Here is a 24715-nt window from a genome sequence, read left to right as displayed (position 1 = left end):
GGTACCATGCCAAGCGTTTTATATGGTCTGAGTCACTGAGTCCTCACAGCAATCTGTGATGTGGGTGCTATTACCACCCCATTGTACAGATGAGAAAATCAGGAAATGAAGCCTCCTTGCATTCTCTGGGGTTTCTCAGCTCCAGCACTGGAGGACTCTGTGCTGCTTCTTTGTTGATTCAATCTAATCTAGCCAGAATCAAGGGCACACCCAGGTAGTTAGAGTAAATTACTGCACTGCACCACTGCATTAATATACAAGCCTGGAGACTTCTGGCAATTTGGGGGAGTTTCTGGATCTTTCTGGAAAATTCCTGCATTTTTCTCCCTTCCTTTTCTTCTAGAAGCAGGAGTAAGGGGAGTAGGGGCATGGCAGCCAAGGTTGTAGCATGGGAAAAGGCGTGTCTGTCTGGCAGTTCCAATTCTGTACCTGCTGAGGGCCCTCTTGGGGCCCGCCTTTCCTCCTTTTTTTGGGAAATGTGGCATTGGATTCTCTGACAGCCTTGCCATCTTCTCTATAAGTAGGGGCTCTCCAGGAGGGCAATTAGATACTTCCCTAGGGTCTGAAAATGACCAGCACTCAGATACTTTCCCATAAAGGGGAAGACATGCGTGGCTGTGGCTAAGGAAGTCCCTCTCCCATTCCATCTCCATGGACACCAGCCAGAACATCTACTCCAGGAAGCATCCGAGGTGGAGCTGCCCATGCCAGAGCTTCCCCCAGCACCGTCCAACTAGGGGGTGACCCAGGTGTCTGGCTGGACACTTGCTGCTGGCAGAGTTGTGTCATCATTGCCAAAGAAATCTCAATGGAAACAGCCCGATCTGCTCAGGGGGAATTACAGACTAATGGGAGAAGAGGTGATGGCGATAGGTTCACACATACTCACACATCTAGGAAAGTGAAATGGCTAACCTCCCACAGGAATGGGGCTCAGGTTGAATTCATTACTCACCAAAACGATGCCCAATAAAGAGGGAGATCCGAGTGGAGTGGAACGATTCCAGAAAGTGCCTTAGAAGTGAGGTTTTTAGTTTTTGCTTTTCGGATCTCCCCTCCCCTTCCCGTCCCTTCCTTCTTTTCTGTCTTTTCTTCTTTTCTTCCTTTCTTTTTTTTTTTTTTTTTTTTTTTGACAACATCTTGTTCTATCATGGCTCACTGCAACCTTGACTGGAGGGGCTCAATTATTCTCCCACCTCAGCCTCCCAAAGTGCTCGGATTACAGGCATGAGCCACTGTGCCGGGCTAAGTAGTGAGCTGAGGCAGAACTCCCATCTTTTAAAGGCCACACCCACCCACTACCCTCCCATCTTGACTGATGCCTTGATTGTACCCAGACCTGTGCCAAGGTGCAGGGAAAACTGCTTGCTGATTTAGTCATTTATTTATTCATGCCACAACCCAAAGTTGAAAGTCTACTTGCCAAACACACAGTGCCTGCGGTGATGCAGGGAGATTTTCTTGGAACGGGGATTTTGTCAATCAAGGCTCTAAGTCAGGAAGTACATGGAATACAGGCAGACAATTAAGGACGTTGACATTCTCCATTCTCTTTTTTGGAGAATGGCCCAGTGGTTTTATCCAAGGCTGCTTTGAAGCTCCAAGTTCAACCTGTAAAATGGCGGCCACTATGCATTCTTACGTACATTGAAGCTTGGGTAGCTCCTGTCTGCTCATTGAAGAAACACTTATGATGAACCTGTGTGCCCTGCACTGTGCTGCATGATTTGGGCGGGGAGGGGGAAGATGCAGAGAAACAATAGGTGATGTCCTTGCCACCAAGGTGCCCTTGGGCTCATGATGCCTCTGCTCAGATCCCACCTGCCTGACCTGAATACGCCTGTACCTCTCACCACTCCACTGTCCACAATGTCTGTGTAGCTGGTAGACACTGCCTGGGCTTCAGTACGAGATTGTGTGTGTGTGTGTGTGTGTGTGTGACTGTGTGAATGTGTGTAAGCATGTCTGTTGTGAGAATGTGCATAATAGGGTGTGTGTGAATGTGCCTGTGTGAATGTGAGTGTGCCTGTGTGAGTTTGTCTCTGTCATGTATGTGAATGTGAGTCTGTGTTGCTGAGTGGGTATGCAAATGAGTATGTCTGAGTATGGGTGGGTCTGTGTGTTTATAGGTCTGTGTATGAGTGTGCCAGTATGTGTATTGGTGTGTAAGTGGGTGTGTGGTGTGCAAATGAGTGTACCTGTGTGCATTGGTGTGTGCATCTGTGAGGGGTCTATGTGTGTATTTGTGTCTGCGTGTGTCTGTGTATTTGTAAGGTATCTTGCATGAGTGTGTGAATGGTGTGTGCGTATATGTGTGTAAGTTTTGTGAGTCTGTGAATGAATGTGGGTGTTGGTGTTGTGTGTGAATGAGCATGCGTGTGGTGTGATCTTGTGTGAGGGGGTGTGTCTGTGTGTGAATGAATCTGTGTGAATGTGTGCATGAATGTGTGCCTGTGCGTCTCTGTGTGTATATGTATATGTGATTCTGTGTGTGTGTATATGTGATTGTGTGTGTCTGTGTTTATGTGATTCTGTGTGTCTCTGTGTGTATGTGATTCTGTGTGTCTGTATGTATATATGTGATTCTGTGTGTTCTGTATGTGTATATGTGTGTGTCTCTGTGTATATGTGTATGTGATTCTGTGTGTCTCTGCGTGTGTATGATTGTGTCTGTGTGTATGTGATTGTGTGTGTATATGTGATTCTGTGTGTGTCTGTGTGTGTATATGTGATTCTGCGTGCATATGTGATTATGTGTCTCTGTGATTGTGTATCTCTGTGTATATGTGATTGTGTGTCTGTGTGTATATGTGATTCCGTGTATATGTGATTGTGTGTCTGTGTATATGTGATTCTGTGTGTGTATGTGTGTGTATATGTGATTCTGTGTGTCTCTGTGTGTATGTTTATGATTCTGTGTGTGTCTGTGTGTATGTGTATATGTGATTGTGTGTTTGTGTGTGTGTGTCTGTGATTGTGTGTTAGGGTGTGTGAATGTGAGTGTGTGGGCATGGGCATGTGGGAATGTGTGTGTGAGGGTGTAAATACGTGAGGGTGTGGGGGGGGTGTGTGAATGTGTGTAAGAGAGTGTATATGAATGTGTCTACGTGTAAGTGTGTGTGTGAGCGCGTGTGAGGGTGTGTGAGCGTGAGTACCTGTGAGTGGAGGGGGGGGGGTCTGCGTTTCTGTGTGCGTGTGAGGGTGTGTGAATGTGTGTGAGGGTGTATGTGTGTGAGGGTGTTTGAATGTGTGAGGGTGTGTGTGTAAGGGTGAGTGTAGGGGGTGTCTGCATTTGCGTGTGTGAGGGCGTGTGTGTAAATGTGTGAGGGCGTGTGTGTAAATGTGTGCGTGCGTGTAGGGTGTGTGCGTGGAGGGGACTTCCTTCGGGAAGTGCAGGCTGGGATTTGCCTGAGCCAGGGCGGTCGGGCCGGGGGAGGCCGATGGACTGGAGCGTGTGAACTCCCGTGGTGGGTGACAGGAGCCTGGGTGGAGAGGGCGGCGGCAGCAGGAACGGAAGGGCGGGGAGTTGTGGAGGGCGTGGGGCGGGGAAGCGCTGACCTTGCAGCGGGAGAGGAGCCCCAGTGGGACGCGGGAGCCGGCCGGAGGGAGCCGGCAGGGGGCGCGGCCGCGGCGTCCGGGGAGCTTTGGGGGACCAGAGGGGAGGGAGGGCCCCGTCCTCTCCCGCCGTCCTGGGCGGCCCCGCGCACCCGCTAGTGTCTGAACCGGGGGCTGCGTCCACGCGGACAGAGCAAGGAGGGTGGAGGGTGGAGGGCGGAGGTTGGAGGTTGGAGGTTGGCGGGCGGGGAGCGCCCGGTCAGGCACATCGCCGAGGGGACATCCTCAAGGGCCCGGGCGTGTGGGACGCTCCCAGGTGGCGGATGGGGCGGCCTCCTGATGAGGTTGGGCGTCTTTGGGAACACGTGAGGGCGATGGCCTCGTCTTTGTCCCCGCGCAAGGGCCACATCGCGGGCCCGGGACCCAGGAGCCTCCTGGCCTGGCCACGTCTTGCGGCCGTTTTGCGTTGGCGCCTGAAGATTATCCATCCCCACCCCGCCCGGTTCGTCCAGCGCTGTCTCCTAAAGAGCGGCTCCCGTAAGCCCCGGGGGATTTGCGGCGCGCTGCAGCCCCTCCTGGGCCCCTCCAGCGCGTCTCTGGCTGATCCGGTGTCGTAATCCTGGGTTCTGGCATCGGAGCCGTTGCTATGGGGATCTCACCCACCGATTCAGCATTTTGTGGGTGGGTTCGGTGGGGGATGAATGCGAGGAACCGGGAGATGAATGGAGTGGGGGAGCAGCTCACTGCTGGAGGGCTGGGAGGAATTCTCTGATCCTCTCATGGGGGAGAGGTTTGGAAGCTGGCGCGGAGGAAGTAGGAAAGGGGATGTGTGAGTTTCCTGGGACTGCTTTTAAAAACTACCACAAACTGGTGGCTTAAAACAACAGAAATGTATTTCTCCACAATTCAGGAGGCCAGAGTCGAAATTCGAGTTGTCAGCAGAGTTGCTTTCTAAGGGAGGCTTTGCAGGAGGATCCTTTCCAGGGCTCTCTCCCAGCTTGGGGGCTGCACAGTCCTTGGCGTGGCGTGGCTCCCAGACTCGCATCCCTCCAGTCCCTGCCTCTGTCTTCTTGTGGCTTCTCTTCACAGGAGGAGTGAGCTGGGAGTCAGGGCCTGGTTAGCAGGAACACAACATCCATGGGATCAATCCTGAAGGCTGAGCACTGTGCAAAGGGCTTCCTGAAGGTTATAGGAAGGAACTATTATCATTCGTTTTGCAGATTGGGAAACTGAGGCACAGAGTCCTCTTTCCTCCTGTGGCTTTCTCTTCTGTGTCTCTGTGTCTGTTCCTTTTCTGTCTGGTATAAGAACACCCTTCCGTGGGTTTAGGGCCTACCCTAAGTCAACGATGATCTCGTCTCAAGATTTTTGTTTGTTTGTTTTTGGAGACAGGGTCTGGCTCTGTCACCCAGGCTGGAGTGCAGTGGTGTGATCTTGGCTCGCTGCAGCCTCTGCCTCCCTGGTTCAAGTGATCCTCCCCTCTCAGCCTCCTGAGTAGCTGGGACCACAGGCACACACCACCACGGCTAATTGTTGTATTCTTTGTAGTGATGGGGGTTTCACCATGTTGCCCAGGCTGGTCTCGAACTCGTCGACTCAAGTAATCCGCCCGCCTCGGCCTCCCAAAGTGCTGGGATTACAGGCCTGAGCCATCGCGCCCGTCCCTCATCTCAAGATCTTTAATTACCTGTGCAAAACCCTGTCCCCACATAAGGTCAGTGAGGTTCCCTTTACAGATTCCAGGGATTTGGGACTTGGACACACCTTTATGGAGGTCACTGTTCAACCCATTACAATGGGGAACTCATACAGAAAAGTAGCTTTGCCGTCTTGGACCCAACATGCCAGCCTGTGAGCATCAGGATCAGGGCTGATTCTGCTAGAAATCTGCCTCTTTGCATCAGCAGAGAAGCCCTTTCCTCGCTCTGGAGATCATGCTTTGGAGTGAGTGGTTAAACACACTTCCTCTGCAACGAGACTGGCTGAATTAGGGCCCCGGCTCTGCCACTGACTAGCTGTGAGATTTGGGGAAGCAATGGAAACATCTGTGTGCCTCAGTTTCCCAAGCTGCAAAACGAATGATAATAGTTCCTTCCTATAACCTTCAGGAAGCCCTTCGCACAGTGCTCAGCACTCAGGATTGATCACATGTACGTTGTGTTCCTGCTAACCAGGCCCTGACTCCCAGCTCACTCCTCCTGTGAAGAGAAGCCCTTTACTCCGTCCTCCTCAGGGAACCCTACAGAAAGCTTCCCACCTGCAGTACCTTTGTGCACCAGCATGCTTCAAATGGGTGTCAGGTGGGTGGAGACTTTGACCCCCCTCAGCCCCGGAGAGCCTGAAGCTCCGGGTCCCCGCCTCCACGGTGGGCAGCTTCTCTTGTTTGCCTGGGTGCGCCATCCCAGCCCTCTCATTTCATCATTTCACAATGTTCCCAGAGAGAAACTTCCCTTGTCTTTGGCAACATGAGAAAATCAAGGACAAGTCAGTGAGTTTTTCCTTTAAGTTCACTTTTTTTTTTTTTCAAGCTGCAAAGACTATCTTTTGTTCAGATTTTTGGCCTTCTTCCATTTTTAGCATGAAGTGTGTTCTGCCTTTGATGACAGAATAGTGACGATGGGCAAGCCACCGCTTCGTTGCTTGCTTGTGTTTCAGTGTCCTTAGGTGGCAAAATAGAACGCTGGAATCCTTATGTAAGCTCCAGATTACTGGAAACTTCCCTCGTCTATGAAATCTCAAAGTCTGGGAACCACTGCTGTGGAATTTACAAAACATTTTCAGGCACATAATCTCACTCATTTCCCATTTGACAGGTAGTGACAGATAATAAGGCTCCAGGATATTTTTTTTGACTTGGCCAAGGTCACATGGCTGGGAAACAGGGAAGGCAGGACTTCCCATCGAAAGCCACGCCTGCTTACCACGAGGAATAACTGAGACTCTTTTCTCTAGCACGGGAATCTCACACTGAGTCCCCCATTTCAGAGCAGCCGTCAGTCTAAAATGGGTCTGTCTTCTCCTCCTGTAGGAGTACAGTGTGTGCTGTTCTCAACGAACGCCCCCCTCCCAGCACCCTTTAGGTGCTGTGGATGCCCCTGAAACAAGGCCTCAGACTTGGCTTGGACTATGGGTTCCATCCATAGGGTTGGCCTCATTGATCAGCGTTACAGGAAGGCTTCGAGGTGGCTCCCTGTGACCGTGTTGTGAGCAAACCATTCCTGGCATCCCACCTTGCAGGTGAGGAGACTGCCTCCTAGCCGTGGTAAGTCCCAGCACCCCACGCTGCCTCTGTGGGTTTGGAGGTCTGGCTCATTCTGTTCACGTGGGATGGTGGGATTCAGCAAAAATGGGAGAGTTGGGCTGTGAACTCTTGAAGGTCAGCTCGTCCAGGAACTCATTTCGTGCATGTATACTGGCACCTGCTATGCAGTGGACACCGTTCTAGGCACTTGGGATACATCAGGGGACAAAACAGATGAATAGCCCTGCCTTCCTAGAGCTGACATTGTAGGAAAGAAGGAAGATGGATAATAAACAATAGATCAACAAATAAGGAAATTAAATCGCAGGTTGGCAGGTGGTAAGTGCTACAGAAAAGAGGAAAAGTGGTGGGAAAGGTGGGAGTGTCAGGAGGGGGTGAAGTGGGTCAAACCTACAATGGCCTGGCTAGAGAGTCTGCTAGTTTCCTGTTTCTCACCAAAGCATCCAAAAGATTCTTTAAGATAAGATGTAGCAAGTAGCACCCTGTTCCTCCAGCCCATGCAGTCAGCGGTTCTTTACTCTGATGGAGGAATCTACCTAACTCTGTAGCTACAACGGAGGCTTCAGCTGGTCCCCCTAGGAGCTTGTAAGCCAGATGGTCCACTTGAGGTGTCCCAAATGTGGCAGGGAAGCTGTGTCAACCGTCTCTGGGTACAGGCTGTCCCTGGGGAGGGGGTGTGACTTTCAGCATCAGCAGCCAATACTCCCAGCAACTGGGGAATGGCTGTGTTGGCCCTGACAGGGCATCGGGGCAGCACAGCACCTCACCCACAACAGGGAAGAAGACCCGTGGAGTGTGGTGATGCACACAGAGTCTTCAGCAAATTGCCTGGCCTATAAGGATGCTTGCCAGTGTGATGGGCAGTTTTCTGAAAGGTAGTGCTCCCTCCTCCACGAAGCATTTTCTTGACTTGACTTCCAGGAGCTCACAGACTCCTGGTTTCCCTCCTACCTCCCTGGCCACTGTTGCTGACTGTTGCAAACATGCCTCAGGACTCAGTCCTTGGAGCGTTTGTCCCTGCCAGCTGTGCACGCGCTCATGCATTCTCATGCCTTTAAATACCATTTATGAGCTGAAGACACTTAAATTTTTATCTCTTCCTTGAACCTTGCATTGAACTCCAGACTCATATATCTAAACTGCCTACTAGATATCTCCACTTACGTGTCTAATAGCCTGTGGCGGCTGTAAAATTGCTCCACTCACAACTTCTGTTGAGGGGACCATGGTGACCGACACCCCACCACTGCCCCAGTGGGCCCACCCCTATGGTGTGCTGAAGCCACACATGATGTGGGCTTCTCCCAGGCAATAGCTGAGCAGGTGGGATGGGGTTAGAGGGGGCAGTGTCAGGGCAGGCCCACACATGTGGGATGTTGGATACCCCCATGGGAGGTTTTGGCTCAAGGACCTCTCATCGGTCTGAATGAACACTCTTGGAGCTGTGCTGTGGACGGAAGCTCTTCCTCTCAGGCCTCCTTCCATCCCCCTCTCCTTTCACAGGTGCCAGGCCTGCATGGCAGTCTGCCAGCACCTGCTGCCTCCCCTTTGTCCTTCACAGACTTTGCCCCCAGTAAGCCTGTCCCATGTCCAATCCTGTCTTGGCATCTGCTCCTTGGGACATCCAAAGCGACACAATGGCATCTGAAATTTCACATGCCCAACACTGAATTAACCAGCAGCTCCTTCCCCTAGAAACGCTGGCTTCTCCCCTAGCCTTCCCTGGCCTCATAAGTGGCAGTGCTGTCTTTTCATCACTCAGGTCATCCTCAAGCCTCCTCTCTCATCCCTTATCTGGCCCAGCAGCAGATCCCGCCGACGCTCAGTTCAGAGGCCATTCAGCATCTGACCATATCCCACCCTCGCTGCTCCAGCTCAGGCTCCCATCCGCTCCCACCTGGTTTCTAGCAGGTTCTCCTGCCAGCTCCCTTCTCTCCTTGCCCTGCCCCTCTCACCAGCTGTTCTCAGCAAGCAGCCCAGTGGCCCTTTCAGAATGTCAGAATTCCCATTGCCCTGCCCATGGGCTCCCATGTCACTCGGTGTAAAAGCCAAAATCCTCCTGGCAGCCCACGAGGCTCCTCCCCACTCCTCCCTGTCCTCTCCTCCTTCTCTCACTAAACCCTGCGTCCTTTCCTGCTCTTGCTCAGCACCTCGGCGCTTGGGGTTCCTGCTCTCATGAGCCTCCCACCCCTACCTACCTCTTCATCCCCCCACCCCCACCGCCTCCTCTCCCCAAGTCTGTGCCCAGCTGCCACCTTCTCAAGCTTTCCCTAACCAGCCCCACCTGGCATGCCTCACTCCCCTTCCCAGCCGCCACCTTCTCAGGCTTTCCCTGACCAGTCCCACCTGGGATGGCTCACTCCCCTTCCCAGGCAGACACTGAGATGTATTTTGCTCTTGGACTTTGTTGGTCTCACTCCCGCCATGAGCACAGATGCTCCGTCGCGGCAGAATGTTGGCCTCCGTTTCTATCCCCATGCCTGCACAATGCCCAGGGCACAGCAGTTGCTCAAAAAATATTTGTTGAATGAATAAAAAGGGAAGTCTCAAAAAAAAACTGACATATAATAATATTTGATAAATATTGGCTTTATAAAATTTTGTTTGCTTTTATTTCATAAAATTCAAGAACTTGTGGAGAAGAAACAAAAATAACCCATAATCCCACTGTTTTGATGCCACTTACTGATATTTGAAAAGAGGTAAAAATAAAATATGAAGACAGAAAATCCCATCATGTATCCAAAGGCATGAATGAAAAGAAAGAGCCTTCTACCAGGACCTCCTGCACCACCCAAGAGTGCCATTTTCTCAGGGGCTGAGAAGAGCCCCTCCAACAGGGCAGGTGAGGCCGGGGAAGGAACTAGGAGCCAGCTGTGGGCAGTGATAGGACTCTATGACATCAACATCCTATGGCTTCATTTCTCTGCTTAGAACCCCTTAGGGCAGTGGTCCCCAACATTTATGGCACCAGGGACTGGTTTCGTGGAAGGCAATTTTTCCATGGGTGGGGTGGGGTGAGGATGGTCTCAGGATGAAACTGTTCCATCTCAGATCGTCAGGCATTAGATTCTTACAAGGAGTACACAACCTAGATCCCTTGCATGCTGGTTCGTAATAGGATTTGTGCTCCCATGAGAATGTTTTTGTTGTTGTTGTTTTTGGGTTTTGTTTTTGTTTTTTTTGAGACAGAGTCTTACTCTGTCACCCAGGCTGGAGCGCAGTGGTGTGATCTCGGCTTACTGCAACCTCCACCTCCCAGGTTCAAGCAATTCTTGTGCCTCAGCCTCCCAAGTAACTGGGATTACAGGCACCCGCCACCACGCCTGGCTAATTTTTGTATTTTTAGTAGAGACAGGGTTTTGCCATGTTGGCCTGGCTGGTCTCGAACTCCTAACCTCAAGTGATCCACCTGCCTTGGCCTCCCAAAGTGCTGGGATTACAGGCGTGAGCCACCACACCCAGCCTCTTATGAGAATCTAATGACATTGCTGAGCTAACAGGAGACAGAGCTCAGGCAGTAACACTCACTCGCCCACCACTCCCCTAGGCTATACGGCCCGGTTCCTAACAGGCCACAGACTGGGACCCCTGCCTTAGGGGATCCCGGTGGACTTAGAAAATTCACACTCTTTCCAGTTGTTCTAAGGCACTGAAAGGTCTGATTCTCACACTCCCTCCCTATACCCTTGCCCTGGTGGTCTTTCCTGCCTCAGGGCCCCAGTCCATGCTATCTTCTCCACCTAGAAAGCCTTCTTTCTCCCCACCACTTGGCCAGCTCCAACTCCTCCTTCCAGTCTCAGCTTACATGAGCAGTTCTCACACTTGTGGGAATATTGGAGTTACCTGGAAAGGCTGGTGCCCAAAGTTTCTGATTCAGTAGTTCTGGGGCAGCCTGAAAATGTAGATTTCTAGTAAGTTCCTGATGCTGCTGCTTCTGTGACTGAGAGAGCCCCACTTTGAGAGCCAATGGGTTATGTGATGCTTCTTTAAGATACAGGCTCCAGATTCCTCCCCCACCCCTTTCTAAATGAAATCCTCCCATATCACCCTGTGCTTTTTCTTTATCCCAGTTATCACAATTTTTAATTACACATTCGTTTGTATCTAATGATTGTCTTCTAATCTAGATTAGGCCAGAGGGAACATTTTAATTTCACCCCTCTATTCTTTTTGTGTTAAAACAATAAAAAGACCAATAAACAGACATCGTACCGAGATAGTGTCTCTAGAAGTGAGGAAACTAACATTTATTGAACATGAGTATACATCTTGCACTATCATAGATACTTCCAGAAGAATGATAACCAAGAGTGGCCACTACTTATTGAGCACCTACTGTGCACCAGGCAATGTACTTGGGCGGGATCAATGACGGCTTTGTTCACTTCTATATCCCCAGTGCCTGGCCGATAGTGATGCTTAATAAGTGAATGAATGAATGAAAATAAACAATTCTCCTTCATAGAACACTTTCTCCTCTCCTGGATGATGGAGAGCTGTTCCACTCTAGGATTTGTTTTATGGACCCATCTCCTATCTGGGGCAGGAGTTTGGGATCCTTCAAGATGGTGATCGTGGTCCCACCTCCCCAGGAAGATTGACAAGGCCCCTGGGAATACTGAGCTCTCACAGCATGGTGCAGAGATAGAGAGTCGGGCAAGACAGACGCCTTCCCCTCTGCTGTCTGTTATATAAAATAAGAAGAAAGAAAGAATCGGGGGAAAATTCATAGGCTGGTCTAATTCCATTAAATACAAAGCAGAAAATAACAAGAAGATCAAAGCAAGGCCAAAAGGAAGGAGACAGAAAAATAAAAGGAGGGGGACGGAGAGCCCGGAAGGGAGGAAGTAGAGGAAGAAAAAGAAGTGGGGGAGGATGTCCACTGAAAATTGGCTGTCCTCTTCCTAGGTGTCTGTGGACTACCTGCCAAATCAATTGATTACATCTGTAGGCAGAGTTGCCTTTTTATTTCACACCAGTTTTCACGGGCAGCGTAAGATAAAGATGGAAGAGATGAAGTGAATGGGAAAAGATGATTGAATGTTGATGTAAAAAAGGAAGGTGCAAGGAAGGGGGGGCCGCTGGACATGCAGTTACAAGAGCTTGCTGCAGAGGAGATTTTGGATCATGTGCCCCTCCCACCCCTTTATTCTTTTCTTTCCTTTATATACTCTTTGAGAACGCCTGTCTCCTATTCCCAGTGACCCGCTTGCCACAACCCACCTTGGCAAAAGCAGTGGATATGCCCCAGGACTCCAGGAAGCAGTGTGGCCTCAGAGAGCTTGGTGAGAAATGTGTGTGGGAAGCAAAGGGCAGCTGATGACTCACTGCATGCCCTTAACTCAGTCTCTTCGACTCCTGAAGCCTCAGTTTCCCCACCTGGGGTATGGTGATAATCACCCACTCAGCCACGATGCTGGGGAGTGCTAACAGGTGAGAAGTTTGAGATGTGCTTTGCAAAAATCAGGAACTATATGCAGGCTCCATAATCTCAGCAAACAAAAATCAAATCCTGCAAATGCAAAACAATGGCACCTTGTGGGAGGGTGTGTCCCATAGTGGGCTGTCCTGGTCCATGCTGGTGGGCTCTCGGGGGCTCAGTTCACTGCTCTCTCCCTGGAAGAGTCCTCCACTTATTTGGGCATCTGAGCTCTGTCTTCATAGGCCAGTGGCCAGCTATGAGGGTCTGTTTCCTAGAAACCCTTTGGTTTAGGCCTACCATCTGGGGACTGTGGAGAACAGGGCCTTGCTAAAAAGCCCTTCTGCAAAGAACTTGCCTCCCAGATCCTGAGGCTGTTCCGCACAGTGTCATAGGCAGAGACACTGGGGAACTGCCCCTCCCAGCTTCCCAGGCACCATTCCAAAGCCAGTTTTAACACGACCCTCTCTGCTGATACAAGCAGAGTTGAAGGTGGGAGAAAGGGCTGGCTTGCTGGCTGGTGTGTCACTTTAGTGAGGGGGTGTTTGACATTCTTCCCATGCTGGACCAGATCAACCTAATCCAAGGTCTTGATCTCTGCTGCAAAAAGGGCAAAGCAGGATGCCACCAACCACCCATACACCTACTTCTTTCTCCTGGCAGGCCTGGGCTATCACCATGGCAGGTCGTGTCCGAAGGTGGACTATGCCTCCTTGGAGGAGAGGGCCAACAGATGCCTCTGCTGTCCATCCATGGGACTGTAACTTCTCTGGACAGGGAGCTGAGCATCCCTGGGGGTTCTTTAGAATCATCACGACACAGAGGAGAAAAATAAGGCCCCATGAGGGCCATGACGCATCCCAGGGCTCGGAGCTACATACAGGCAGAGGGGTGGCTGGAATTTGGGCTGGCTGTCTTTTATTCAGGTGCTTTCCATGTGTGCCTCCATATGTGCGTATGTTTGTGCACACGTGCATTTGTGCATGCGCATGCATGCATGTATGTGCAGAGAGGGGCAGGGGCTAGGCACAGGGCACCTTTTGGGGAAGCAAGCCACATGGGGAGGCCCAGATTTCCAGGCTGAGGGGTGAGCTTGGCTCCTGGGACATGAGGCAGAAGTGATAAATGCATTTGCCTTGTAAACTCAGGGCATGCCCTGTCTGGGGAAAGCATGTCAGGAATTGTGTCAAACACCTGATGACTGCTGCTTGTATTTCTTCTTTATGGCCACCTGCACTGGGCACTCCTGGGCTCCCGAGTAGATCCCCGTGCACAAACCCATCATACCTGCTGGGCTGGCCAGCTCCCAGGCCCCCATCTGCCCTCCATGAGGAGCATGGGGGGCTGGGAGGGATCTGCTTCATCCTCCTATCTGTCCTGACACCCACATTGTCCCTCATTAGGAGCTCTGCAAATGGGAGGTGCCCAGCAAGAAGGGGCCCACAGAAGCAGCCAGGCTACTATGTCAGGCAGCCTTTTCTTGCACATGTGGGAGGAATGGCTGGAATGTGTGGCACCCCCAAATATCACCTGCCACATGTCATCAGACAGTGCGCTTTTCCTTATGTGCCATCAAAGTCCCCATGACGATATATATCCCTGGGGTGGGGAGAGGGTGGGGAGCACCATTCTTTCATCTGACACCTTGGAGCAGAGATTTGTTCCTATCAAAAAGAGAACCGGAAACAGATGTGAAAGAAAGTTGGGGCACCAAGGTCTACTCCCATGGATGGGCAAGTGTTTCCCAAACGTGGCATACCCTGTGGGTGGCCTGCCCTTCATTCCTTGACCCACCCAGAGGACACCCTAGCTGCGGTAGACAATTCATGCACACGCCAAGGCTCTGTACCCCCAACAACCACTGCTCTTTGCTTTTATGGGTTCTTTGGCCATGGAAGGGGGCTCAGCCCTGCAGGGCAGGCTAGAAGTGCTGGGAGTTAACTCCCTAAGTGGGGCTCTCAACCCTGAGGGACAAGGGCTCCTGGAGAAATGCCCTGGCTTCCTGGTGAGTTCTGCAGCCTCTTGGAGGCCTGGAGGGGTTGGGCCCCCAGGATGCACAAGGGAAACCTACCTCTTTAATCAGCTTTCCTCTTTCCTCTTCTTACTTCTCCCCTCCCTCACAGTGCCTCCTGCAGCCACCTCCCAGATAAACCACCAGTACTCCCATCCTTGTTGGAGGGCCTGTTTTTAGGAAAACCCTGACTAAGGCAGGAAGCTCCCCGCACTGCAGCAGAGGGAGTCAGGATGCTGAGCTCTGGGTGCCCCAGCTGTCTGGCTCACCAGCCATGAGATGCCAGGTATGCCCCTTGACTTCTCAGAGCCTGTTTCTGCATTTGTAACAGGAGGGTTAATGCTCCACAGTTCTGTGATTCTGCTTCTTAAATGCTGGAAGAATTAAATTCATTCAGGGTTGCCACCAGGCAGAAGCACAGGCTATATGCTATAGATCTGGATTACAAGATTAAAGATCAATACAACATTGTACAGAAGCAAGCGTTAAATTGGGTGACAAATGCTAAACAGAGCTGGGAGTGAGAGAAAGGAAGGATATAGTTGAAGAAGTCTTCTTGGAAGAGGTGAGGATTTAGTTGGCCTTAAAGGAGGTAGGTTGGGGCCCAAAGCTTGGGAATAGAGCTTGGGAAGAAGCCTCTGGAGCCAGCCTGCAAGGGTGTGGGAGCTCCTACACCTATCATGGACTCTTTTCAATCCTGGCCAATGGCAGTGGGTCACTAACTGCCATGTATTGTGCTACACAGGAGATGTTGGGGCTGCAGGGATGTTTCTGTTCTAATGACTGTCTGTAATTTTCTAGGAAAAAGGGGTGATGGGAGTGTATGGATAGTTTAAAAAGAGAGTGTCGGCCAGGCGCGGTGGCTCACACCTGTAATCCCAGCACTTTGGGAGGCCGAGGCGGGTGGATTGCCTGAGGTCAGGAGTTTGAGACCAGCCTGGCCAACATAATGAAACCCTGTCTCTGCTAATAATACAAAAATTAGCTGGGCGTGGTGGCGGGCGCCTGTAATCCCAGCTACTCGGGAGGCTAAGGCAGGAGAATGGCTTGAACCCGGGAGGTGGAGGTTGCAGTGAGCAGAGATCATGCCATTGCACTCCAGCCTGGGCAACAAGAGCGAAACTCTGTCTCAAAAAAAAAAAAAAAAAGCCAGTGTCCACCCTTTCCCTTCTCAACTCATCGCGTATCATTCCTTTTCTGCCCCTTTCCCCCTCTTCCCATTGTACCCTCCTATCTCATTCCATTGCGTGCCTTTCCTTCCCTTTCCTCTCATCCCACCCTGTCCCATGTTGTTCTATCCCCTCCCTTCTATCTCCTCCCCAGCACTCATTCCGTCTCATCCCTTCCCATCCCATCTCTCCTGCGTGAGAAGGGGATATTGGCACATGAGGAGACTTTGGAGACCTGTCCCCTTTATTTGGCCAGGGTGAGGGGAGCTGCAGCTGAGGCTGTGGCCACTAAGAACCACCTCTGGGGTTGTGGACCTGGAGTGACAAATGGTCTGAGGGGCTCTGACTGAGGAAGCAGCTTAGACACTGTTATTTCTAGAAGGAATGGAAGATTTTTGTCTCTGTGGCCCGAGCAGGGAATCTCTGGGAAAGCTGCTCTCCTCTGCCTGGTGAGCTGGGGGCCAGTCCTCACAGTGTAGCCACCGCCCACAGGGAACTAGGACTCTTGCCTGCTTTGAGCTGAACTCTCTCCATCTCTTTTGACTCTGACTTCCTGACCACTGTGGGAGGCAATGCGTAGAGTGGCTGAGAGCACAAACACTGGGGCCCAGCAACTGGGCTAAACCCCCAGCTCTGCCACCCACCAGTGCTGGGACCTCACAAAGTCTCTGAAAAGCTCCCTGCCTCAATTTCCCCACCTGCAAAGTGAGTCTAATAACAACGTATCTTTTTGGGTTGTTGTGAGGATGAGATGAGCTACCATATACGATGAGTTTAGAAGAGTACTTGAAACACAGTGAGCTTTGTCATTGTTAGCTGCTCTCTTCATCATCATCATCATCATCATCAATCATTTATCCATATAGGAAATGGAGGACCTGGCATTCTCTCCTCTTCTCTCTCTCTATACCTCTTCTCTCCTCCCTCCTTCCCCCTTCTCTGTATTTGTTCTCACAGAGGAGGCTGAATCTGGGAGGTCTGATAGCGCTGGTTAATGGCTTATAGATCGTTGACGCGTCAGGCCTGATGGAAGTGTCTGTTAGGGTTGGCATTGGGAGCCCGAGTCAAATGGCCCGAGACAGATTCATGGCTGTCTTCCAGCCACGGCAGGAAAACACTCCCAGAAGGATACAAGGCTCTCACAAGCTGGGGAAACTTAGAGCGATGGAGGGGGCCTTCCTGGGAGGCTGCAACCCTCCAACTATGCTGCAGGGCCCCAGGGCCCTATCTACAATGTGGGGAACCCTCCAGAAGTTAGAATGGAAGTGCTGAGTGTTAACAAAGTGTGAGCAAAGGACAGATGTCCAGATTCACTCAGAAACAAGTCCAGGAAGACCTAACTAATGAGCACTAATTTGGAAAGAGACCAGACTGACCTGGTAACAAATTGTGAATTATGGATTTTGTTTTTTTTTTTTTTTGAGACAGAGTTTTGCTCTTGTTGCCCAGACTGGAGTGCAATGGCGTGATCTCGGCTCACTGCAACCTCTGCCTCCTGGGTTCAAGCAATTCTCCTGCCTCAGCCTCCCAAGTAGCTGGGATTACAGGCATGAGCCACCATGCCCGGCTAATTTTGTATTTTTAGTACAGACAGGGTTTCACCATGTTGGTCAGGCTGTTCTCGAACTCCTGACCTCAGGTGATCCACCTGCCTCGGCCTCCCAAAGTGCTGGGATTACACGCGTGAGCCACTGTGCCCAGCCGAATTATGGAATTTTAAAGCATAGTTTCACCATTCTCAACTAAATAGACCTAAATAGAGCCCTATAGAAAGCACCTAGTGTGTGTGTGTGTGTGTGTGTGTGTGTAGGGGACAGAGAAGAGAGTCTTATCCGTGTGTGTGTGTCTGTGTGTGTGTGTGTGTGTAGGGGAGAGAGAGAGAGGAGAGAGAATCTTATCCTTGTCCTGAAGGAATTCACAAATGGGGTGATATACAATTGTATTACTTGGCACTTAGTAAAATTAAATTACCAAAATGGCAAACCAAAGGTTCTTGGGGACCCACTAGATGAATGATGTATAATTACCCATTTGTGTGTTTGCATGCAAGGCGGAGCTCTGCAGGGCTGGCATGCAGTTTGCTCTTTCCTGTAGGTTAAACACTTCTCTTTCACTCTGGTTTACACCAGAGTTTGTTTGTTGCGTGGCCCAACCCTCCCATTTCCTAACTTGCACAGGTACATTTCTGGCCCTCCAAAGTGGAAACCTGCTTGTTCTTCAATGAACAAAGGGGCTCTTGCTGAATGTGTGTGTGGCCCTGGAGTTGAAATCCATCTCCTTGACCTTGGAGGCTGGTTTTTCCCAACTCAGGGAAAATTGCTAAGAGTCCAGCAGCAGGCTCAGTGTCTTTTTGGAGTTTTCAGAGCTAGGATGCTCCTCTCTCTCAGGCTCTTTAAGAACCTTCCAGCATCCACCTCCAAGGGGGAGGTTTGGCATTTCCATATCCTTGGCTGGCAAATTGTAAATTTGGATATGAGCAGAAAATATAGTGACATCAAGGTTATGTGGTCTGCAGCTGACAAGATGGATAGCCCTCAGCTAGGCAGCATTTCCCAGCTTCTTCTTGGTTTGCACTCTCTGCACCTCTCTTTCTTTTAACCTTTTTTTTTTAAGGAAAACATTTTTAGAGACTTTAATAACTGTGGAAGGATGCTGTAAGGCGGGCAGGGAAATTGATCATTTTTATTCGGTTGTGCGTGATAAAATGTAAGTTTGAGCCATGAATCTTCTTACCTTGAGGGAAAAGAACGGTGTGCCTGGCTGTTAATATGACTCCCTTTTTGGAGATTTTAATGAAGGAATCCCGCTCCCCACCGCAGATTAATTCATAGCTGTGGACAGGGCGGGGCTGAGGCGGGAATACACTCTTTCCTCCAATCTAGCAACTGCTGGTTCCGTCTCTCTCCACATCTGCGTGTATTCGCTGTCTATTATTTTTAATCAATGTCTCACCAAACACATATAAAGCTCCCACTGTGTGCAAGACACCATGCCTAGCACCAAGGAGGGGAGATGCTGAGGAGTATCTCAGAGTCCTGTGTAAGTTGCCCAGAAGAGGGCTCCTCTCCAGGCCCTGCCTGTGAGCACCCCAGATACCTCCCCACTTGTCTTGGCCACAGCTATATCCCCCTACTGGAACATGGCAAGAGATGAGGCACACGGCTTGTGTTGGCCACAGGACTCCATTTTGGGTACCCTAAAAGGAAAGGCAGGGCTGCAGTCTCAGTCAGCTTGGGCTTCCATAACAGAATGCCATAGACGTTTATTTCTTACAGTTCTAGAAGCTGGAAGTCCAAGATCAAGGTGCCAGCTGATGTGGGTCCTGGTGAGGCCTCTCTTCCTGGCTTGCAGATGGCCACCTTCTTGCTGTGTCCTCCCGTGGCAAGGAGGGAGGGAGAGAGACTGACAGCGCATGCATGCTCTCTAGTCTTTTCCTTCCTCTTCTTATAAGGCCATTCATTCCATCATAGGGGCCTTACCCTGTGACCTCATCTAACCCTAATCACTTCCCAAAGTCCCCACATCTAAATACCATCCCACTGGAGTGTTAGGGCTTCAATATATGCATTTTGAGGGGACACACATATTCAGTCCGTAACAGACCTGTGTTGTGGAGCTCATTTCCTCTTTCTTCTTCTTAGGGGGTTGAGTATGGTGGAGTTGGAAAGTGTGATGTATGGTGTGGGGAGAGGACAGAAAGCGACCTCTGCTGCCAGGCGGAAAAATGCCCACCCAACTACTCCTGCCACATCAAGTCTGTGGCCAGAGTGTAGGAGGGTTCAGGCCACTGCTACCTCCCGCATCCTTGCCCTAGCATCCCTTCCTCAGGTCCTAATCCTAAACCTCCATCAGCTCCCTGCTTTCTGGATCCCTCCCGCAGCCAGGCCCCTCTCTTGCTGTGGCTCACCAGTCATCTGGACATTGCTGGCAATAAGCTTCCTTAAACATCCATGGTGCACACGCTGCTCTGCAAACAAAGACAGGGCATCCAATTATTCCAAAAACAACCTGTTTCTGTTTGCTTATCTGACTCGGACTGTTTGCCCCTGACATCGCTATTGATCAATTTGAACTTTTCCCCTTCAAGTCCAACATGATTCATAATTTGTGGTTGGGAAAAGCCACCTGGGCAGTGGGCCCCCTGGGACCAGGCCCTGTGCACCCATAATCTCATTTAATGCTCTATGTGGTTGGTATCATGATTTCTATCTGAAAGACAAAGAAAACAGGGGCTGGGGGAAGGTGAGCATTTATCCAAATCTCCCAGCTTATAGGTGATGGTTATCAGAATTTGAACCCAGGTCTGTCTGTTCCAAAGACTGGCCCCTCTCTAATACATTGAGATGCCTCCTGTGTAGGCACCCAGTTTTGATGGTCACCCCAATTCAGAATTGCAATCAGACAACAAACACCAGAGAATACAAAAGGCTGATTGTGACTCTGCGTAGGGAACAAGTGTACCAAGCTGTGCCGACAGTTTGATGGTGGGTCAGTGTGACATCTTGGAAAAAATAGCAGCTGATTATATTTTTCAAATCGACATGTGTTTTTAAAGACTTTTGAATCAGATGTGAGTCAGGAGCATTAGGGCAAAAGTGTAACACTTTTTTTTTTTTTTTTTTTTTGAGACGGAGTTTCGCTCTGTCGCCCAGGCTGGAGTGCAGTGGCGTGATCTCGACTCACTGCAAGCTCCACCTCCCGGGTTCACGCCATTCTCCTGCCTCAGCCTCCCGTGTAGCTGGGACTACAGGCGCACGCCACCATGCCCGGCTAATTTTTGTATTTTTTTTTTTTAGTAGAGACGGGGTTTCACCATGTTAGCCAGGATGGTCTCGATCTCCTGACCTCGTGATCCGCCCGTCTCGGCCTCCCAAAGTGCTGGGATTACAGGCGTGAGCCACCGCGCCCGGCCAGTGTCACACATTTATATTTGGTGAATGTGGGAAATTTCTCCCATGAAAACAAAGTGAGCAGTCACTCTTGAGGTCTGGGTGCATAAATTATAGTACATTTATACCATGCGATATTATGCCCTATTGAAAACAATTAGAGCAATATTGGAGGACAGAGAGAGAGTTCCCCAAGGTATTGTTGAGTGAGGAAAACAAGATGCAAGAAACTGAATATCATATATTTCTGCAAAACAAATAATGACAAAAGGCTGGCTATACATGTATAAGTGCACACATGTGTATAAGTGAATGCATGTGGGTGTGTATAAAAAGTTACATACATGTATGTACATACATGTCTACCACATGTAGTGTGTGTATGTATATATTTATACAGGATAATATGATCATGAAGAAAAATGTGGAAGGATCCCTACTAGGCTATTAGCATGAATTTCTAGTGGTTATGGGTGGAGGACAGAGGAGAGGTGTCAAGGAAAGTCAAACTAACAGGAAAAAAAACTAAGAGTCTGCACAAACACACACACACACATACACATGAATCATGTAATGACAACATTTATGCATTTAAATAAAGGTATAGGCATTCATGTAAATACATTCAAAGAAAAGTTGTAAGTTATTTTCCTACAGCAACAGAGCACTTACCCCAGAGATCTGCATGAAGGCATGACAGTGAACAGGCCTCTGCAGATCCAGACGGTACAGTCTAGAGGCTGGGGACAGCTACTAGGAAGCCACATCACTGGCTTCCCACTCCCTGCAATGGGAAGGGTTGGTTTATTCCTTGGCTTTACAGCCGGCACAAGGAAGAGGGGTACCTGTGTGATTTGGGGGTCTTCTCCAGCTGCTGCCTTAGAGTCCCCCACCTGGTTCAGGGGTAAGTGAAACAGTAGAAGGGGAAAATAAACTCTTTTCTACTTCTACTAACATTAGGGTAACCGTAACACTGATCATTTAAACAGGGACCACTTTGAGAGTGAAGAGCAGAACTATGAATAATTCAGGTGCAAACCACGACTGTCCCTAGCACACCTGGCTGTAGGGTCACCCTAGCTATAGCTCCTAAATGGGGGGTCTACATTCTAAATTTCACCATCTTCTCCATGCAAATGTGAGTATTAATTGATCCAGAACCCTGTAATTGTTGTAACTGGAGCCCAACAGGACTGAAATTACTCTTAATTATCATCCCATCCCAGGAGGGAGGGTCCTTTTCCCTCAAAGTTACAGAGACACGTGGTGAAACCAAGGGGGACGGGTGTGTGGCTTCCATGGGGCCCTGCTTAACCACAAATGTCAATGCTCTGGGCTGAGCAGGGCTGGGATTCCTGCACATGCTCTGTGTGGTTGGCCTGATCTATAAGAGACTAAATAATGACCAGGCTTGCTGCTAGAGCACTTTGTAGCTGATGTGTCTGGCATCACCAGCTTGGATTACTAAATGGGTACATGCTGATTAATCTACAAATTAGGTTGATGAACCCCCACCCTAGCTGTCTCAAGGATTTGTATATCTCCCCGGTGCCCTTCTTCCCAAGCATCCCTTTGTTAATTCAAGGGATCTACACAGAGACTGGTATTTGGACCAGGGCAGAGAGAAAGATAGAGGGGGAAAGATTATTTTTTCCCAAACTATTAATATCTACTAATCTGAAATGCCATAATTGAGGGCTAGAGGCAGCATTTTTCTTGGCTAGCAGGGGGAAAGCTATTTGAAATGGCCTTGAGAATATGACTAACATGAAGGAAGCAGACTGCAGAGATAAAGATGAAAGAAAGACCCTGATGATACTGTTTGAGCCACTTGCACCCTCTTCCTTGTGCTGGATCTTCAGGAGCACCTGAAGTCTGCTCCCCAAAGTTGGCAGAAAGAATAATGGCCCCCAAAGACATCCACATCCTCACCTCTAGAATCTGTGAATATGCTACCTTACATGACAAAAGGGGTACTGCATATATGATTAAGAATTTTGAGATGGGGAGATTACCCCAGATTATATGGGTTGGCTCAGTGTTATCACAAGGGGAAGCAGAACAGTTAGAGTCAGGGAGGGAGATGTGGCCATGGAAATAAAGGTCAAAGTTATGCCATTGCTGGAAGTGGGCTGTGAGCCAAGGAATTTCAGGCATTCTCAGAACCCAAAAGGCAAGGAATGAATTCTTCCCTACATCTTTTAGAAGGAATGCAGCCTTGCCACCATCTTGGTTTTAGCCACATAAACCCATTTCTGGATTTCTGGCCTCCAGAGCTGCAAAATAACACTTTATGTTGTTTTAATCCACTCACTTTGTGGTAATTTGTTACAACAGCAATTAGAAAACCAATACTCTCAGCTTTCTGGTGGCATGAAGCAAATTTTCTTGAGTTAGACTTGATTTTCCATCATTTGTAACCCCAAGAATCCTGTACTAGTAACCAGCTCCAGGAGGACTAACATCCCTTTCCAGAACAGCCCAACTACGATACTCTCCCAACTTGTCCTTTACCTCAGAAGTCCTATAACTAGGGCTTGAGAGGAACATGGGGACAGATTCGTCAACTTTCTCCTGCAAATGAAAAATCCAGTCAGGCTCAGATAGATCCAATGACTTGCCTGAGCAGTTGAAGGGGTTTCTACCCAGCATGGGTTCTAGATCTGGAGTCCATGGACCGGCTGCTGTGGCCCAGTGGACCTGTGAAGTCCTAGAAAAGAGTACAGGTTTGAACAAGTATGTGTGTCGATACCTTTCTTTCTGCAGCCCCTTGGGTGGTCCAGAACCACATCTCCCTGGGGCTGCTTTTGCAGCTGAGGAACCTGGAGGTCTAGCCCATCCTGACCTTGGCTCTGCCCTGTGCTCCACACCCAGCTAACCCATCTCTTTCCATGACACGCCCTAGATGGCCTCCCCCACGGAGCACATTTCTGAGTGGAGCTGCCTGGAGCAACCACTGAGATCAATCTCTTGGGATGCCAAAACGCAGACACCATCCCGCCTCCTAGATCTGATTGTTTTGACAGCTTCACCAAATTACAAAGCAAAGGCCCCATTTGGTGATGAGAAAAGCAATATTGTGGCAGGGGCGGCTCATTTCTTTGAAAATCAGCAGTAAGTGAATTTGCATCCACTTAGTAGTAAATACATCTGGCTGGCCCCCTCTACAGCAACTGCGAGGGATTTACATGCACTTGGGTTTGTTTTATTATTTTATGATGGAGAGAGGGGGGAGAGGGAAGAGGGAGGGGAGAGCAAAAGAGAGGAGATTGAGAGGGATTTCTTGGGGAGGAAAAATTGAGGATGGGAAGTTTCTCATTTTTTTTGCAAAGTTTCTTAGCCTGTGCCTGGGGTGGGTGAATCACTGAATCAGAGTGGGCAAATCATTCTTAGGAAAAGAAATAGCCCTCTTTCGGTTCTGTGCGTTATGATTTAGAAGACTCTGAAGAACCCTTGTCATGACGCGCTCTCTAAAACCCTCTTTAAAATTCAGCTGGAAAGGCCCAAGGAAAAGATATACAGGCCTTTGTAGAGAGCAGGAGAGCCAGAGACATTCTCCAGGATGGTGCCAGAGGGAATGTTCCATGCAAATGTGTTTAAAGTCCCAGGTCGGTAGCTGCTGGGAAGACCGTTTTATCCTTTTTAATAATAAAGTGGACACCATCTCTTTCTGATTGGAGAGAAGCCAGCGCCGAATGTTTTATGTTCTCTGCATAGGAGCACCCTCGGTGACCCTCTTCTCTTATTTGCTTCTGTAGCCAGGAGGAAACAGGAACCTGGGTGAGCAGACGGGGGAGCAAGTTGCCCGGGCAGTGGGTGTTCAAGGGGGTTGTTGTGCGCGTGATTTCCCAAGTAAGAACAACATCAGAAATGGAGTAGCCAGCAAGAGCCAAGACCAAACATCCTTAGCATGGCCTGCAAGGCCTCCTGGATGTGATTCCCAGCTTGCTTTCTGGTGCTTTCTATCACTGCTTAGTCAGAGAGTGTTTTTAGTTTGCAAGGTACAGAAACCCACTCACACAAACTCTAGGAAAACGCAGTTGATTGGAAATGGGCAAGGGCACTCTGAGAAAGGCATTTGGGTCACCCCTGTTTCTCCATCACTGAACGCCCTTAACTGCTTACTCCCACTGTGTTTGCTCATGGGCTCAGCTTTATTCTTCTGATACAACAGCCGAACAGACCGCTACATAGACAGTTGTTCTAGGGAAACTCATTTTATCCATAGAAGAAGCTAACATTCATTTATCACTTATGATGTAGCATAGAGAGGCAAAGGGCTCATTCAATAGGGACAGGATGAGAGGGTGGCAGGTGAGGAGCCACCTTAAATTTTACGTCCTAGGTGCCTCACTTGCCTCACCCTATTCTAGCCCAGTCATCCACGGTGACCCTAGGCCACACAGC

General features: G+C 49.7%; 2 long non-coding RNA genes across 3 annotated transcripts in view; one reads left to right on the top strand and one right to left on the bottom strand.

Annotated features, from left to right (window-relative positions):
* Positions 1 to 5675: 5675 nt before the first annotated feature.
* LOC105371888 (uncharacterized) overlaps positions 5676 to 24715 on the top strand; it is a 25305-nt gene continuing 6265 nt past the window's right edge. Inside the window, exons 1-5 of one of the 2 annotated variants that reach the window (XR_001752997.1) lie at positions 5676 to 5855; positions 6699 to 6792; positions 9447 to 9662; positions 12022 to 12253; positions 14363 to 14536. This is a non-coding gene — a long non-coding RNA (uncharacterized LOC105371888). Of the gene's footprint in view, positions 5856 to 6583; positions 6793 to 9446; positions 9663 to 12021; positions 12254 to 14362; positions 14537 to 24715 lie in introns of both variants that reach the window. The other variant, XR_934962.2, reaches the window with a different exon arrangement.
* The window catches only part of LOC107985081 (uncharacterized), a 21523-nt gene continuing 19697 nt past the window's right edge, over positions 22890 to 24715 (bottom strand). The window contains exon 3 of the long non-coding RNA XR_001752999.1: positions 22890 to 23018. This is a non-coding gene — a long non-coding RNA (uncharacterized LOC107985081). The remainder of the gene's footprint in view (positions 23019 to 24715) is intronic.

This window comes from Homo sapiens, chromosome 17, assembly GCF_000001405.40.
Source record: "Homo sapiens chromosome 17, GRCh38.p14 Primary Assembly".
In the NCBI taxonomy this organism is placed as follows: domain Eukaryota; kingdom Metazoa; phylum Chordata; class Mammalia; order Primates; family Hominidae; genus Homo; species Homo sapiens.
This window is presented reverse-complemented; position numbering and strand designations above follow the sequence as displayed.